General features: G+C 38.0%; 1 long non-coding RNA gene and 1 other non-coding gene across 46 annotated transcripts in view; both read right to left on the bottom strand.

Moving 5' to 3' along the window:
• Positions 1-14,033: 14,033 nt before the first annotated feature.
• The window catches only part of RMST (rhabdomyosarcoma 2 associated transcript), a 102,232-nt gene continuing 100,178 nt past the window's right edge, over positions 14,034-16,087 (bottom strand). For 32 of the 45 annotated variants that reach the window (NR_186054.1, NR_186102.1, NR_186098.1 and 29 more), the window contains one exon: positions 14,034-14,919. This is a non-coding gene — a long non-coding RNA (rhabdomyosarcoma 2 associated transcript). The remainder of the gene's footprint in view (positions 14,920-16,087) is intronic. The other 13 variants (NR_186073.1, NR_186103.1, NR_186057.1 and 10 more) reach the window with 2 other exon arrangements.
• Positions 15,158-15,257, bottom strand: MIR135A2 (microRNA 135a-2). Its single transcript, NR_029678.1, has one exon. It is a non-coding gene; the product is annotated as a microRNA 135a-2 (primary transcript).

The following is a 16,087-nucleotide window of genomic DNA, read 5'->3' as shown; positions in this document are numbered from 1 at the left end:
GGTAGGAAGCTCAGTATCTGTCTACTAACGGTTAAACTATGAATGGGTAGGAAGCTCAGCAACTTATGAATAAAGGAATTTAGTAGAGTCTACTCAGGTTATGTGTTTAAGATTGGAGGTTAAATAAGCTCTCGCAGAAATAATACAAAGCCTAGTTAGAAAAGAAGAAAGGCATTTGACCTGTATTTCCCATAAGTTTTTAATTTCTAAATGTTTGCTCTGAAAAAGGGCTAAGGGATTTGCTACATTTTGAGGCCATCTATTCTATGCATGGACAATTATCAATGCATGACATAACTTATTTACATATGTAGTTAAAGACTTCCTCTCTATAGCTTTGCCAACTGGTGCTACTTTTGCCTTACAGAGTTGTACTTGTAAACTGTGTTCATTTTCCCAAATACCAGTTCTTTAGGTAATTAAAGGCAGGATTCACATTCCTCTATAGATCTCCTCTGTTATGTTCTCTACTCTCCTGTTTCAGTTTTCACTCTAGGTAAACTTCCAGTTGTTGGCTGGACATTTGGATCAGGAAGTCATCTTGCTTAGATCTCAATTTCAACGTGATTAAAACAGAACAGAATCACTCCTACCCCTAGAGCAACTCTTCTCTTGACTTTCTCATCTGCCAAGAAGTCATTTTTGACTCTATTATTTCTCTACTGCAATCCTGAATTAAATAGATCACCATGTCTTTGTGGACATTATCCCATTTGTTCCTTCCTTCCCATCTCCTCTGCCTTAACTGGAATCTATGCCATAATGACCACTCCCTTTGACTTGTAATTGATGTCTTCTCACCTCAGCCTGCTCTTTTTTCAACTCATCTAATATATCCCAGCTAAACCATATTCTTATCAAAATTGTCAGTGCTTTCTAATGGTCATTTAATACAATACAAACTCCTTAACCCAGTATTTGAGGCAATCTACACTATGGTCTGACTCTATGAGATTGTCTTGTACCAGATTGCTATTAGGTTGGTGCAAAAGTCATTGTGGTTTTGCCATTACTTTTAATTGCCATTACTTTTAATGGCAAAACTGCAATTACTTTTGCACCAACCTAATATATCAACAAAAACAACAACAATAATTAAAATGTATTGACTACTTCTGACTCTCTACTATGTCTCGTATAAATCATACCTTCTAGAACAATGTTGTCCAACATGGTAGCCACCAGATACATGTGGCCTATTGAGCACTTAAAATGAGGCTAGTTTATATTAAGATGTGCTGTAAATGTAAAATATATACTGGATTTTGAAGACTTAGTATGCAAAAAGAATGTACTACATCTCACTAGTTTTATATTGATTACACGTTGTAATGATAATATTTATATATATATTAAGTTAAATAAAAAATCAAGGCCAGTTGCGGTGGCTCACACCTGTAATCCCAGCACTCTGGGAGGCAGAGGTGGGTGGATCACTTGAGGTCAGGAGTTCGAGACCAGCCTGCAACATGGTGAAACCCCATCTCTACTAAAAATACAAAAATGAGCTGGGCACGGTGGAAGGCACCTATAATCCCAGCTACTTGGGAGGCTGAGGCAGGAGAATCTCTTGAATCTGGGAGGCAGAGGTTGCAGTGAGCCAAGACCGTGCCACTGCACTACAGCCTGGGCAACAGAGCGAGACTCCGTCTCAAAGAAAAAAAAAAAATTAAAATTACTTTTAACAGTGTCTTTTAAATTTGTATACTGTAAGTCTTGGAAAATGTAGAAGTACATATATGGTTTGAATTTGTGGCTTAAATTATATTTCTATTGAATAGTTTTGCTTTGCTGTGACAAATAAATATGTGCATGAACAAAAAAAGGAAAATATATAGAAATACAGCATTTTAAAAACGTGACAGGATTTGGGGATGAGTCTTGCTTTTTTTTCAAAATAATTGTTATCATTTTAATTGTTTATAATAAAAAGTATAACACCTAGTTAAGTTTAAAAATTGTCATATCTATCCCTCAAGATAACTCTTTCTACAGGAAGCTTTTTTCGGGAGTCTCAGCCAAAAGTAATTTCTTCTTCATTGTATTTCTTCTGTGTGTGGTTCTGAAATGTGCAGCACAGAGAACCACCCAGGGTGTATCTAAAAAATTACCAGCTACCCAGGCCAATTGAATCATCATTTCTTGGGATGGGGTCTATTATCAATACAATTGATATTATCAATATCCCCATCTGTGGATGGGGTCTATTATTAATACAATATTAATAAAAGCAACATTGAGAAATAGCAATGGGTCAGGCTGTGGCACTTATTAGATGCTTCCTTTTAGTACAGTAACTTGTCTATTTGATATTTTGTCTCCTTTATTAGACTTAAGGTATGCAACTTTGCATCCTCCATGCTACAAGGTTTTGTATGTCACAGATCATCAATAAGTATCATTAAATAAATGCTGAAAGTTGAAAAGCATTTCCATAAATGGAATCACTGTAGGTAAATTTAGCAAATTCTGTCAATTACTGGGTTATTTATTTCTTACCATCCTATGATGTGCATACTATTATTATTCCCATTTTTATGAAGATGAGAAAATGAATTTTCTGAAAATGAAATAAAGTAGATGTGACATCCCACTAACCAGTGACAGGGTCAGGATTTGAACACAGATTGAATTGACTGCAAAGCACCAATGGCTAATTACCATTGTCCTGGAAAAATAGCAGACATTATTGTTCTCTATATTAAGTATGACCAAAATGCAGTCTGCCCAGCAAAGCATGAGACCAATAAAACAAGACAGGTGAAAAACTTAAACCTTTATGACAAGAGTCTAGTGGTGGCACTGAGTAAAGAAGAAAGTTTAGCTTGTACTGAAAGGAGGAGTACATTTGAATGTGTTGCAAAAGCTTACATTTTGATATTTTCTCACATTAGAGTGAAAATCTTTGAGTAGTAGCCAACTAAATCATATGTTGGGCTGAATTTAATTCATCGAACATTTTTTGAGGGTCTCCTATGTGCCAGGCACATAGGTCCTTAGCATACAATAAAGCAGAGCCTGACACATAGTAAACATTAGGAATGTTGCACACATTGTTGAGTTCTTGAATGCCTGAGTAATGAGTAATGATTCATAAAACACAGTTTCTGCTCAAAAGGTACTCACAGTCTGGTGGGGAAAACAGTTAAGAGACAATTATAGCACCATCTGATCTGTGTTATAAAAGAGCTAAGTCCAGAGGGGAGGGTGGGCCAACATAAGGGCCACCTAGCTGAAGCCTCCCGTGGAAGAAAAAGGCCCCAGTACCTAATCTCTTGCATAGAGGGGAAAGCTTTCAGCTACAGAAGGCTATGGATCCCTTCTACTTAAAATATCCAGGATCCAGGAGTGTGCCCAGCTATTTTTAATTAGCACTGCCGATAGGAAATGTGTTATCTCATGGAATGTAATGCCATCCATGCAGGAACCCAAGGAAGCCTAAACATTACTCTCAACTCTATCTCCTCCTTCCCTGCCTATGTTCGATTGGTTGCAAACTCCTTCTTAATAGTCCTCCTTAATAGCTTTCTAATCTGCCCCCTGTAGTCTCCATCTCCATCACTACCACTGTAGTTTGGGTCCTGATAAATTCTCTCCCGGATTACTGTGTCAGCCTCCTGACGCGTCTCTCTGCCCCCATCTTATCTTATTCTCCCACCCTGCAGCTAGAGAGATCCTCCCGAGAACCAAAGCTGATCACAGTTCTCTCTGTCTCTGAATCTTAAGTGGCTCTCTATTGCACACAAGATAAAATATAACTCCTTATTTGACATACCCTGCAGGTCTCTGCTTGAATCTTCTCTTCATAGCCAGTGATTCTGATGTACTGAATTGATTACCTATCTTGCATCTTGTCGTGGTGGATGATGATTCTAAGCTTACCACGGGCTGCTGCTTTATCCTGAACGCTCTACATTCCTCCTTCAGCTTTCTTCACTAGGCTTCCTCCAACTTACCTTTCAAATCTCAGCTGAGATGTGACTTCCCTAACAAGCCTTTCCTTGTTTGCCAAGTCTGGGTGGGGGATGGCTCAATCTTCTAATAGAGTAGTTATCATGCTGCATTACAATTACTTTCCCCACTTCAGCCTGAGGGTCTTGCATCAGAGAGAAGTCGGTGTCTTTCCAGCGTCTATGTCTTATGCCTAGCAAAGCACCTATCACTTAGTAGGAACTCAATGAATGCGTGTTAGGGTAGCCTTTCTAGTCAGTCAGCACCACAACGAATACCCTCTTTCCTTGAGTAGGTATGATAATCTAATTAGTGAGGCTGAGAAACTTCTGCAAGTCAGAGGTCAGATGGTGGTGGTAAACAGAGGTCTGTGGATTGTCCCAGTGGATGAGGACCAACTATGCAATATGTATTATATAATCGGTGCTAACTGAACAGGCCAGAGAAAATGAGCTTGGAACCAAAAAGCTCTCCCTTGGCCAATCTAGTCAGTGTAAAACTGTCCAAACCATCATTTAGCTAGCCACCTGGAAATACCTAGTTTCCCAAATAATACCCTGACAGCCAAAATTGAAAAAATTTCCCATCACCAGTGAGGTTTTATTTTTTTTAATTTTCTGTTCCAATGACAAGAATGTAAAAGTATGTAATTCTCTATACAAATGACAAGAATAGAAAAGTCTGAGTATGGTATGAACTTCATATCTTATTATGTATTACATTTTATTAGGCAGAATGATATCAAAGTTAATAATGTGAAGTTTTTGTGTAGGAACTGCTACTATTATCAGTAAAAATACAACGCTGAAACAAAATTATAGAAAAGGAATATTACACTTTTGTTCCTAAAGAATTTGCATTAAGCTCAAAGAGAGCAAATAATGAAGAATGAAAGGAGGCTTTGTTATTCAGCAATTTCTGTGATCTGCCAAAATGTCAAATAAACCATTTAATCAATCAGAAAATTAAAGAATGTGGCAAACCTCAAGGTAGTTTGAGATTACAGCTGTGCAAAGTACTTCAACTGTAACATGGAGCTATGTCACAATAACAATTACTTCATGACTCATTTTTCTATAACTTTGTTGCTGCAAAAACACAATTTAGGTTTCAAATTAATTGCAGCTGTGCTCCCATTTGAATCTTGTGTACTTTATTTGTGGATGTTTTCACAAATTCTTCCAACTTCTACTTTAATGAACCTCACTTTTACAGGGAGGCTACGTCTATTAAAAAGGAATTTTTGCCATATTTCATCCCAAAATTCAATTATAATCCTCAAATTTATTTCTTTGAATAATTATGTAGTGAAATCAAGCTTGGGAGGCAATTTGAGATTTTTGAAAAGAAACATGAAATGTTCTGATAAGTTGTCCCAGGATGGAGAAATTATTCAAGCAATCATTCAACAAACATTGAGTTCTTTCTGTGTACCAGGCCCTCTGGTAAATGTTGGAGAAAAATAGGGACAAACCAGAAATAGTCCCTGCTTTCATGGAGTATCAATTATACTTGAGAAGAAAAACATGAATTATGCAAATGATAATTGATTAGAAACCAAGTCAAATGCTCTGAAAGAAAGAACTATGCTTTGATGGGAATAAGTAACAGGTGAGCCTGATCTGGACAACAAGCTAGGAATGTGATAGATGGGAGAAGAGTCTGAAGGCTGAATAGATGTGAACTAGAGAGAGAAAGGCAGAGAAGTGGGCTTGGAAAGGCTTCCAGGTGGAGGCAGCCATGAGGGTGGGAAGAGATGGGAAGGGATGCTAAGGTAAGTAGATTGCCCAGAGAATGGAGATAAACCTGAAGAGGTAAACAGGGCCCAAATCATACAGCACCTATGGGCCATGGTGGTGACTTGGGCCTTTATTTTAACAGAACTGGCAAATCATTAAAGGGATTTAAGAAGGAAAGAAAGTTAACATGTCACACTTGAATTTGAAGAGCTATGTCTGGCTGCGCTGTGAGACTGGAGGCCCAGAGAGGATTCAAAACACATTGGAATTGTAGGCCATTGCAGCAGTTTTGGCAAGTCGACCTTGGGTAGTGGTGGTGAGGACAGAGAGACAGATGGATTTCATAGATATGTAAGACATAAAAATCAATATAACTTTGAATTAGATTAGAAATGGGTCAAAAAATTGTTTCAAGGATTGTTCCTAGACTTCTGCTTTACCCAAATGGTATAAACCACTAAGATAAGAAAACGTGTAGGAGGCCCAGGTTTAGGGCAGAAGATAACTAATCGGTTTTGAACTTGTTGCAAGTGATATACCTTTGAACCATTCTAGTGGCAGTGTCTAGAAGAACTTAGATATATGGATTTGGAATTCAGAAGAGATCAGGGAAGAAGTTATTGACTCCATGGACCTGGAGGAGATTTCCCAGAGAAAGAAGAGGAAGAGATCTAGGCCCAGGAAAATACCTGAAATCTTAAGTAACTTCAGATGAAATGTTTGGGCAAAAATGGAAAAACCTGCTAAAGAAATGAAGCTGTAGCTAGAGAGATAAGAGAAAACAGAAAATTGTTGTGTCATAGAGGCCAAAATGACACAAAAGAGAATATATATATTTAAAGCCACTGATCAACAGCATAGATTGCTATGGAGAAATCAGTAAATGAGGATTTAAATAGTTCATTAGATTTAGCTACATGGAGGTTATTGGTGACCTTAGCAGCAGCTATTTACAGAGATGAGTCATGGGTTATAAGGCAAATTAGAGTGAACTGAGAGCAAGGAGGAAGTAAGATAATAATGATGATGGTTATAATCATAATAGTATTAGCTTACACTTGTATAACATTTACTATATTTCAGGCACTATTTTAAGTCATACCTAATTTACTCTCTACAACAACTGTATGAGAAACATCCTCTATAGAGAGGTTTTACCATTCCTCTTTGGCGAGGTTAAATAACTTCTCCAAGGTCACACGTGATGACAAGTCTCTGAAGAAGTTTTGTACGTGAAGGGAAGGAGACATTTATTTAGCAAAGTAGCTGAAAATTGAGGAAAGTAACAGAAAAGCTTTAGAGTTGACTTGTCCTCACCCCTTAAGGGAAACCCCTTGGTTTGTTTATGTAGGAATAGGAAAGGTATTTGTATCCCCTCAAAGATAGAGGTGTGGGTTTCTATTTTATACCTATCAAGAGAAATGGGGTTTTGCCTCTCAACCATGGTTCAGGAGATACTGAGCCCTGCTCAGCTAGCCAAGGAGGATCAGAATGGAAAATGTTCTGTGTGAAAGTTCACCCTCAACCTAAGAATTCATTTTAATTTTATATCTGTGCAACAATAGGAGGAACTACTTTGAATCCTTATTTAATATATGGAAATGGAGACTGGAAGAATGTCAACTCTGTGTTTTCTAGTTTTATGATAGTCGTGATGTTGTGGCCTCCTTCCTCTGAAACCAGAGTTCATATCGCTTGTCCAGGAGGCCTTCTCTGATTCCCCCAAAGGAATCACCCTATATGTCTATTAAACCCTGGGCATCCCTTTTCACAGCATTCATTCAACTTTCACCACTCACTCAGTCTGTTCCCCTGTCACCCCCACGATGCCATTAGTCCCAATTGGGGACCGTGTCTGCTTTGTTCTTGACAACATCCTTAGCCCCAGGCAGAGGACTTGGTACATAAATCAGCAAATGAATTTCAAATCTACACATTACATTTCAAGTGAAATGACATTTTTGTCTTTTTCATGTCAGTTTCTAATCTAATAACCCTGGAGATATTATATCTTCATAGTCTCCATAGTGCTGTTATGGTTTTCAAGCATTTCTGCTTGTATCTCTTGAGGAGAGCCTCAGAACAACCTGAAATGGGAAGGATGGAAATCACCCCCAAGTTAGGGGGTTAATTTGGATTTGGATTTGATAAAACTGAAAAAAACTATTTATTGAAATTAGCTTCTATAATTTGAATAAGAAGGGACCATAACCAAAAGGTATGTATTTTAAATGAAAATAACATTTGCAAAAGCAAGATGAGGAACTTGGGCTTCAAAGGAGTAAGTAACCTCTTCATGGCCACACATCTAGCCAGGAGCAGAGGAGGGTCCTCTCATTGTATTAATTCCACTGTCCTGTTTACCAGCTACCATTGCACACAATGTGTTCTGTGTTCCATTATCAAAAGTTTATGTGGATTGCTACAGGGTGGTTGAGCCTCTTTCAAATATCTACTTCCTCAACTTCCCTTTAGTTTTGATGTCACATGCCCTAGTAGAATTAGGATATAAGCCTTCCTCAGCTGCACTGTCTGCATAAGGATGTGGGGAAGGTCTGAAAATCCACCCCACAGAGACCTAGGGACCCTTGACACTTTGCTCCCTCTTGGGAGGCGGGAAACCTACTATGCAGGTACTCAGAGGCTTTTGCCCAGAGGGCTATCCCTATCTGTTCTAGCATCATTCTGACCTTTACCAAGAATATGGGGAAAGGCTGGCAATATGGACAGAGAGAACCAGACGGGTTGAGAGGGCTTGCAAGCTTTCCCTCAACTGGGCAGGCTCAATCATCAGAGGCGACAGGAGAGGGGAATGTGTATGGAGGGGTGGTGGGCACTCTCTGCTTGACCTCAAAGCCCTGATGAGAAGTAGGAGTGAAGGGATCTGACTATATCACCTTACGCAAAGCATAGAAGATAAGTTTGGAGCTGAGAGACAATATCTTGATAATTGGCACACCTAGTACGAGTCCTGTCCTGGGTCTGAGGACTGACATCAAGGTTATGATGAGAATATTTTGAAAAACATCCCAGGCAATCGTAATCTCTAAAAGCCTTACTTTCCAAATCTGGAAGAAAAAAAAAATTGGGGCAATAACTTCCTAGTGAGATTGTTGAGAGAATTAATCAAGAAAATTTATGTAAAAGACAGGGTATCTAAACGGCTATTAGTGGATTATTGTGTTCTTAGTTCCAAGGTGTCTCACAGAGGAAGATAGTGCAGAAATGGAGTGAGAGGCAGGAAAGCCATAAACATCTTAAGACAAAGTTGTTTTCTAGATTTGAGAGGCTACAACTGCTGACAGATGGTGGGGGGTCTCATTGGCTTTAAAAACTTGAATTTGGTGAAATTGAGAAAAATATTTACTGAAATTATTTTCTATAATCTGGATAGGAGGGGGCCATAACCAAGAGGTATATATTTCAGATGAAAATAATATTTGCAAAAGCATGTGCAGTATTTGCTTAAAGCCTGGTTTTCTTTCGAGCCTCCTGCCTCTTGGTCCTTGAATTTAATAGAAATTTGTGCTCCTGAAACAAATGGGTATGCTCACATGTACACATCTACACATACAACCATAGTAAGCATCTGTTAAATTTATTCATTATCATTCCTTTTGGATTTCTCCTGTCAACTTAAGTCATCTGTTTATTTTATCTAGGCTATTACATTTTCTTTAGAGACATTAAAGCCTATTTGTAAATAACAGTGTATTCTTCATAAATAGAAATTGCAGACATCCTGCATTTAGAGTAGTCTCCAGTTAAGACATATTTTCATATACTACTAATTTTTATCAGAACACAGTATCCTATTTAAACTCTCAACTGATTCATCCTTCAAAATCTGGGAATAAACAGTTCTTCTTTACTATGGATATTAACTACCATTTGATCTATGGCATTCCTCTAACAATTAAATTCATGAGTAATGTAAGAACATCATAGCTGAAAAACATCTTATTAAGGCTTTTTTAATGTGGAAGAAAACCATAGGACTAGTCTTGAAGATTTCAAAGGAAAGGCAACATATAATTCTAAGTTCTTCATTAATGTATATTTCTCTACAGATAAATGAGAGACTATATGTGCTTATCTGTGAAGATAGATGTGGATGTCTCCAAAGGCTTATACAAATGTACATGCTGGTGTGAATCGCCATTTCCACAAAGTCTCCAAATGACGATTTGTTGATCGCTCTGTAAAAGCCCAAGGCCTTTCTCTTTAGTAGGAATACCAACTATCTGATTGTTTTACTTTTATTCAAAGAAATTTAACAAATGCTGCTCATTTCTTGGTTACCTTATAATTTTATGAAATTCACAAAAAAAAAAGACAAATATGAAGGAGCCAGATTGTGCAAGAGTCTTAGATAAACAAAAGATTCTGGAACAAGCTAACATAGTAAGTAGAACAGGTAGTGCAACTTCAAAGTTATTTCATACACACCACAAACAGAGCTAATCTCTCAACATCGAGAGATACTCTTGTGGACATTTTGACCTTAATTTTAACAAGGAACAGGTAGACACTGGTATTTAAGAGTTAGCATGGTGTACTTTGATTCCTATTTGGTGACTCATGGTTTTCAAATATTTGCAGGTGCTGACGTGAGTCACCAAAGTCCTGTGTCTCTCACTCCTGGCCTTGTTAGTAGTCAGCAGTGTGAACTCCATCTCCTCATATGTGGAATGGGGGATTGAAATATATAATTTATGGTTTCTTTCCATTTCTAAAATGATTGCTTTCATTCCAGAAATTTAAGATCAAAGTTGAAAAAGTAAATAGAAACAGCACATTTTGACAGACACTCCCAGAGGGAACAAAAAAAAGGAATGGAGACAGCAAGGGAATCTCGTTAACTTTGTGCGAAACAGCATAACACTGATAAAGAAAAGAAGGTAAACAAAAATTTTCTGACATTTACTTCTGCTAGGAGTGTAGATTGGTACAACATTCCTGGAAAACAATTTGATGATAGTTATAAAGAGCCACAAAATGCTCATTAATTTCTAAATTGGTAACTTCACTACTAAGAATTTATTCTAAGGAAAAATAGAGATAAAAGTTGATGGGCAAAGAAAGATCCATCTCTGCATTATTTATAAGAGGGAAAACTAGAAAAGCAAAACTATGTGTCTCACAAGAAGATAATGGTTGAAGCATGGTGAACTCGGTGAGAAATGTAAGTGATTCTTTGTTGTCATGACATATAATGGTGGTATCTTGACACAATAATGCCAGGAAGTACCATATATGTATTACTTCTTTTAACAAATATTTGAATTTCTACTATGTGCAAACATAATTCTAGGCTCTGGGGACAAAGTAGCAAATAAAGAGGAAGATTTCTCTTCCAGCTCCCCCAGAGCTAGTGAGGTAAGACTATAAACAAATAAAGAAACAGGTAAATATGTAGTATATCAGATGACGAAAAGTACTATGGAAAAAAAGCAAGGTGGTAGGAGTTTGGAAGAGGAGGAGACTTGTGATTTTATAGTCACAGTCAGGGCAAGGCTCATTGATCAGAGATTTTGGAGCAGAGATTTGAGTCAGTGAGCTAGTGGACATGTAAATATCCAGGAAGGGTATTCTAGGTCAAGGAAACAATTTCAAAGGCTCTGAAGTAGAAGTACACTTGGTGTGTTTATGAAATACCCTAAAGTCAGCAATGGGGAGAGTGGTAAGAGATGAGGTCAGAAACATGGGGTGAATGCAGACCATGTGAGCCTTGGGGGTCACTATAAGAACTTCGAGCTTAATTAAGCAAGCAATTAAGTCATCAACATTTATTGAGCCCTCATTGTGTAACCTAATTTTGGACTACCAATAAGATTGCTTATGTATTCCCTGCTAAAACATACTCTCAGAATGTTTGTTATCATTAAAAAAAGATTTTTTAATGTCCAGTTAAACAGATGAAAGAGAAAAAAAGTTAATGGAATGAAACAATGAACTATAAGGGCAAACCTTATTACCTTGAACCAACCGATTTATTTTGCATTCTTCTTGATAAGGAATAAAGGTGAAGAAAAAGGTAAAAAGGCCTGGTATCACTGACTTCCATCTCTGAATTATCATATGTTTCAGAGTCTCTTTTATGGAAGGTTGTAAGAAGGGCCATCTAATAGAATCAAGAGAGATTTTCCTCAAACCCCATCCCACTCCACCTTTTGGACATCAGTGTTTCAAATCCAAGAATAGTCTAATCTATAAAAACCGGGTCTGGGGAAACCCTTTCTGGAGTAGCTACCCTGCAGAGATATGATTCCAGGAATTGGTTTAGAAGCAGAAAACCTGAGGCTCATGACCAAGAGGGTCACATTACTTGGTGTTCACTGAGGTTTTGGGTTCTGCTCTCCTGGTAGACCCCACCCTGATCCCAAGCTGCAGGTTCTGTTTCTTCCTCAGTCATGTCTCACGTGCAGATGTGGGTGACTTTGCTGATAAAGGTGGGCAAGAGGAAAGGTGTGTGCCAGCATGAGCTCATTTGCACCTGAGAAACACAGTGTACATGTCTACTTGGTGAGGTCCAAATTGTGATGAAAAAGATCAGGCTCTGCAATTTGAATGATGGGTTCAGTGTGCCTGTTACCACTCAAATAATGAGATAAGATTTCCAAACTCTCTATTTCACCTTCTTAGGAGGCCTACCAACTCCATAGCACCATTTTGGGATTTGAATATGTAGGATGATGTATGGTTTTTTTCTTAAGCTGCCCAAACCCAGATCCCATGAATATTGTCCTCCAATGACTAAGACAATGTTGTTGGTGAGACCTCTGATGAAGAGAAATTTCTGATGAGGGCATAGAGTTAAGCAACATGAGAAAGATGGCTCTGTGATCTTGCTACACTCTCATTCTTTCCTCATGCTTGTCTCCTGCTTGTGCCAAGGCCAGTGGCAAGATTGAGAGATTTACTCATTCACTTGCTGAGGGAGATCACCTTTCATTGCAGCATTCTGCTCCACTCACCAACATATTTATATGCACTTTACATAGGAATACCCTGTGAGATTTATTGCCAGCCAATACTTTTTAAAAGGTCAGAATCCGGTGACAGAGTCAATATCCAGAGCTATTGGGAGCTGCTGAGCCCTTCTTGGAGACAGTCAATCACTTTTGCACAAGTTGCCTCAGAGATGAAGCAAGTATTGGAATTCAGATAGAACCACACAAGAGTACAGGAAAGGGGAAAGTAGGCAAATACATGGCCATTCCTGAAATCACCAGCATGCTGGAAGCTTAGACTTATCTCATCCCATATGGGTAATAGCTGATTGCAGCCCACTGAGACTCAGCAGTAATTAATTAATCTAAGTAAGTGTGTCCATTAAAACCTACTATCTGCTTCAAATGGTATTTGTGAAGATATTTAGAAGTAAATATATTCTCCAGGGTAGAATACTTTGTGTGTTGGAAAAATTCCCAAGAACCACTCATTTAAGCTTTTCATGAATTCCTTGACACATTAATTTTCAATCCTTGACTCTTGCCTATGGAAATTTGATTGTCTATATCCTGACATTAATCTTTCCCTGATTCTAGAAAACTTTCTTTACATGAGGTCCCTATAGTAATTTTTTCTATGCCACTCATATTACATTTTATCTTGAGTGGTGTAGTAATATCTACTCCAAACTTAAACTCTCCTCATTCTTGCAGTAGGCCTTCACGTGCGTGCGTGTGTGTGTGTGCGCGCGCCCATGCATGCACATGTCTGCCCTGCTTTCCTAAATATACAATATATTTCCTACGATGATATGGCCTTTTGCTTCTTTATTCTCCTCCTGGCTCCCCCTTCCTCTCTCCCTCTCACATCATCTTTCTCCCCTCTTTTCCCATTCATTTGTTCACAAATAACTAATGCCCTACTATCAGGGATATTTCTAGGACCTGGGGTTACAGGGGTAAGTGCGAGTTTTAAAGAACAAATTTGATGATGATAAAAGAACTCTGGATACAAATGTGGTGTCACTGATTTTCACTACATTCTATTTTTATAGCAATACACTTACATTATTCTATAATTTTAAAAAAGTTTCTGTTACTTGCAAAGTCCTTTCCTTTATTGACAATTATTCCTAGGCTTTAGTGATAAAGTCAAATTCTAATGTTTATATGTTTAAAACATAAATGGGCATCACAGTTACAACTAGATTGATAAATGTCCCCAAACACATTGATATGCAAACAAAATGTGGGAGTGGAGAGTAGAGAGGGGATATAGTTCTTTTGGTACTAACAGTGGGTGGTTCTTAAGAAAAAAGCATCATTTGTCTAACTGGAGCAGCCTAGACACAGGCTAAAATCCCATTGTGTAAAGGAAATAGACAAAAGATAACAAAAATAATTTTTATTATAATTTTCATTGAAAAAATACAGAAAATCAATAAAAATGAGCAGAGGTAAATAGTCAATATTAAAACACTTCAAGCAAAAGTAAATATACAGAAAACAGTAAAAGTGAATGTAAGTCCATAGTCAATATTAAACAGTTCAATAAAAAAATTAAACTATTGATCCAACCTAGGCATTTAGGCCACATACGGAAAGGAGGTGCAACTAGACATTCTTGAAGCAGTCTTTTCTTTCTCAAAGGTGCTGCTTAGATCCAAGGTGCTGTTTTAGACTAACATCTGAAGGAAGGAGAGGGCAGAGGAGGGAGAGAAAAGGGAACAGGAGAGAAAATAGAAAGAGGGGAAGGAAGAAAAACTAATATTTCATGAGCTTTTAAAAAATATGATGTTAAATACTTTGTTAGGCACTGTATGCATTACTTCATTTAATCCTCACAACAGCCCTACAAGGTAGGTATTACTTCTCTTCATTTTAAAGATAAGGAAAGAGGCTCATAGAGTTTATATCATTTGCCCCAGGTCACATAGTTGAAGCGGCAGAGAGATTAGAATGCAACTCCACTCTAAAGTCCTCCTGCTTTCCTCCAACATCAGGTGTTCCCCATTGTACCACACCCTTACATGGAAAACAACTCTTGGCGGATTTATGGCTCTCAGGAGGAGTTGATCTAGCCCATCCAATGTATACCTTTTTTGGAGCTTGGGAGTAGAGAAATCTGGACCACATTTCCAAGAGGGCAAGTCTGATTTGTCTATTTCTTCTTTGTTTCAGAAGAAAGACCTCAACAGGTGGCGAAAGAAGGCATAGAAGGATTGAATGCTGCCTACCCGACTGGTGGGCTATTAATAGTTCCCCTAGAGCATGTTCTTTAATAGAAAACGGAGAAAAATGTATGATAAACAAAAATGTGCAAACCCAAATGTGCATGTTAATCAATGATTACGAATATGAATCCACCTAGATTTCTCAGCTGTCAAATCTAAGGATAAAGAAACTCAAAGGAACACCAGGCAGGTAGCAGAGCTATACACTAAATCTTGTCTCCATCACATTCACAGCTCCACAGGCTAACGTTCTCTATACTGATGGCCCCTTCTTAGTTGATGATTTTTCACAATGTATTTCATGGCTTCCATCCCTACATGAGACTTTATTACTATCACATAGGAATAAAAAGCCATAAAGCACTAGAGTGAATTTATCTTGGTCGGATGCAAAACTTATTTTCTTCACATGACTTCACAACCATTTCAAAGCTAACCAATCATTTCACGCTACATTAAAGAACATTTTAAACTACACATAAGTGACAGGAAGCACACTTGAATTGTGACATCACGAATTAACAAGATTTTATCCTTCCACGACATTCTTAGCTACAAGGACCGGGAAACAAGACCAAGAGACACTCAGCAACATTCAGCCATTGAATTCACCAAAAACAAAGGACACTGGGAAGAATTCCTGGAGAAATGCTCATCACTTTGACATTGAACTTGGAAACACATACGGAAAGACAGAAGACAGACAAATCACTGATGCAAACTGAAACCAGAGGAATTATTTCAAGCCTCTTGCTCCAACTTTTCCCCAGAAAGCTTTCTTACATACCCATGCTGGCTTTTAGACTTTTCATTTTGGGTCAGGTGGGGAGTCGGGATCTTAGTACCTGTTTGACTATGTAAGCGTTAAGCTTTCTCTACACCTAAATAACAAAAAGGAAATAAAAAAGTATAGCATACTATGTGCTAACTGCTCACCTACAGCCTTTTATAGAGATGCATCCCCAACCCCATCTACAAAAGCGAGAACGATGCCAGAAACAATACTATGCACTGAAATCTCTCAGTGATCTAAATAACTCAGGTCCAAAGACCAAGAACATTCTTCATGCTGCATTAAAGTGACATTGCTCTTGGTATTATTAAAACACTTATAAGTGGCCATGCTGAAACCCAATTCTCTGTACCACTGAAAACTCAATACCATAAATCCCAATGGTTTTATCTGGACTTTAAAAAATAAACTTGAGGT

This window comes from Homo sapiens, chromosome 12 (assembly GCF_000001405.40).
Source record: "Homo sapiens chromosome 12, GRCh38.p14 Primary Assembly".
In the NCBI taxonomy this organism is placed as follows: Eukaryota; Metazoa; Chordata; class Mammalia; order Primates; family Hominidae; genus Homo; species Homo sapiens.
The sequence above is the reverse complement of the archived record's forward strand: the minus strand, read 5'-3'. Positions and strand labels throughout refer to the sequence as shown.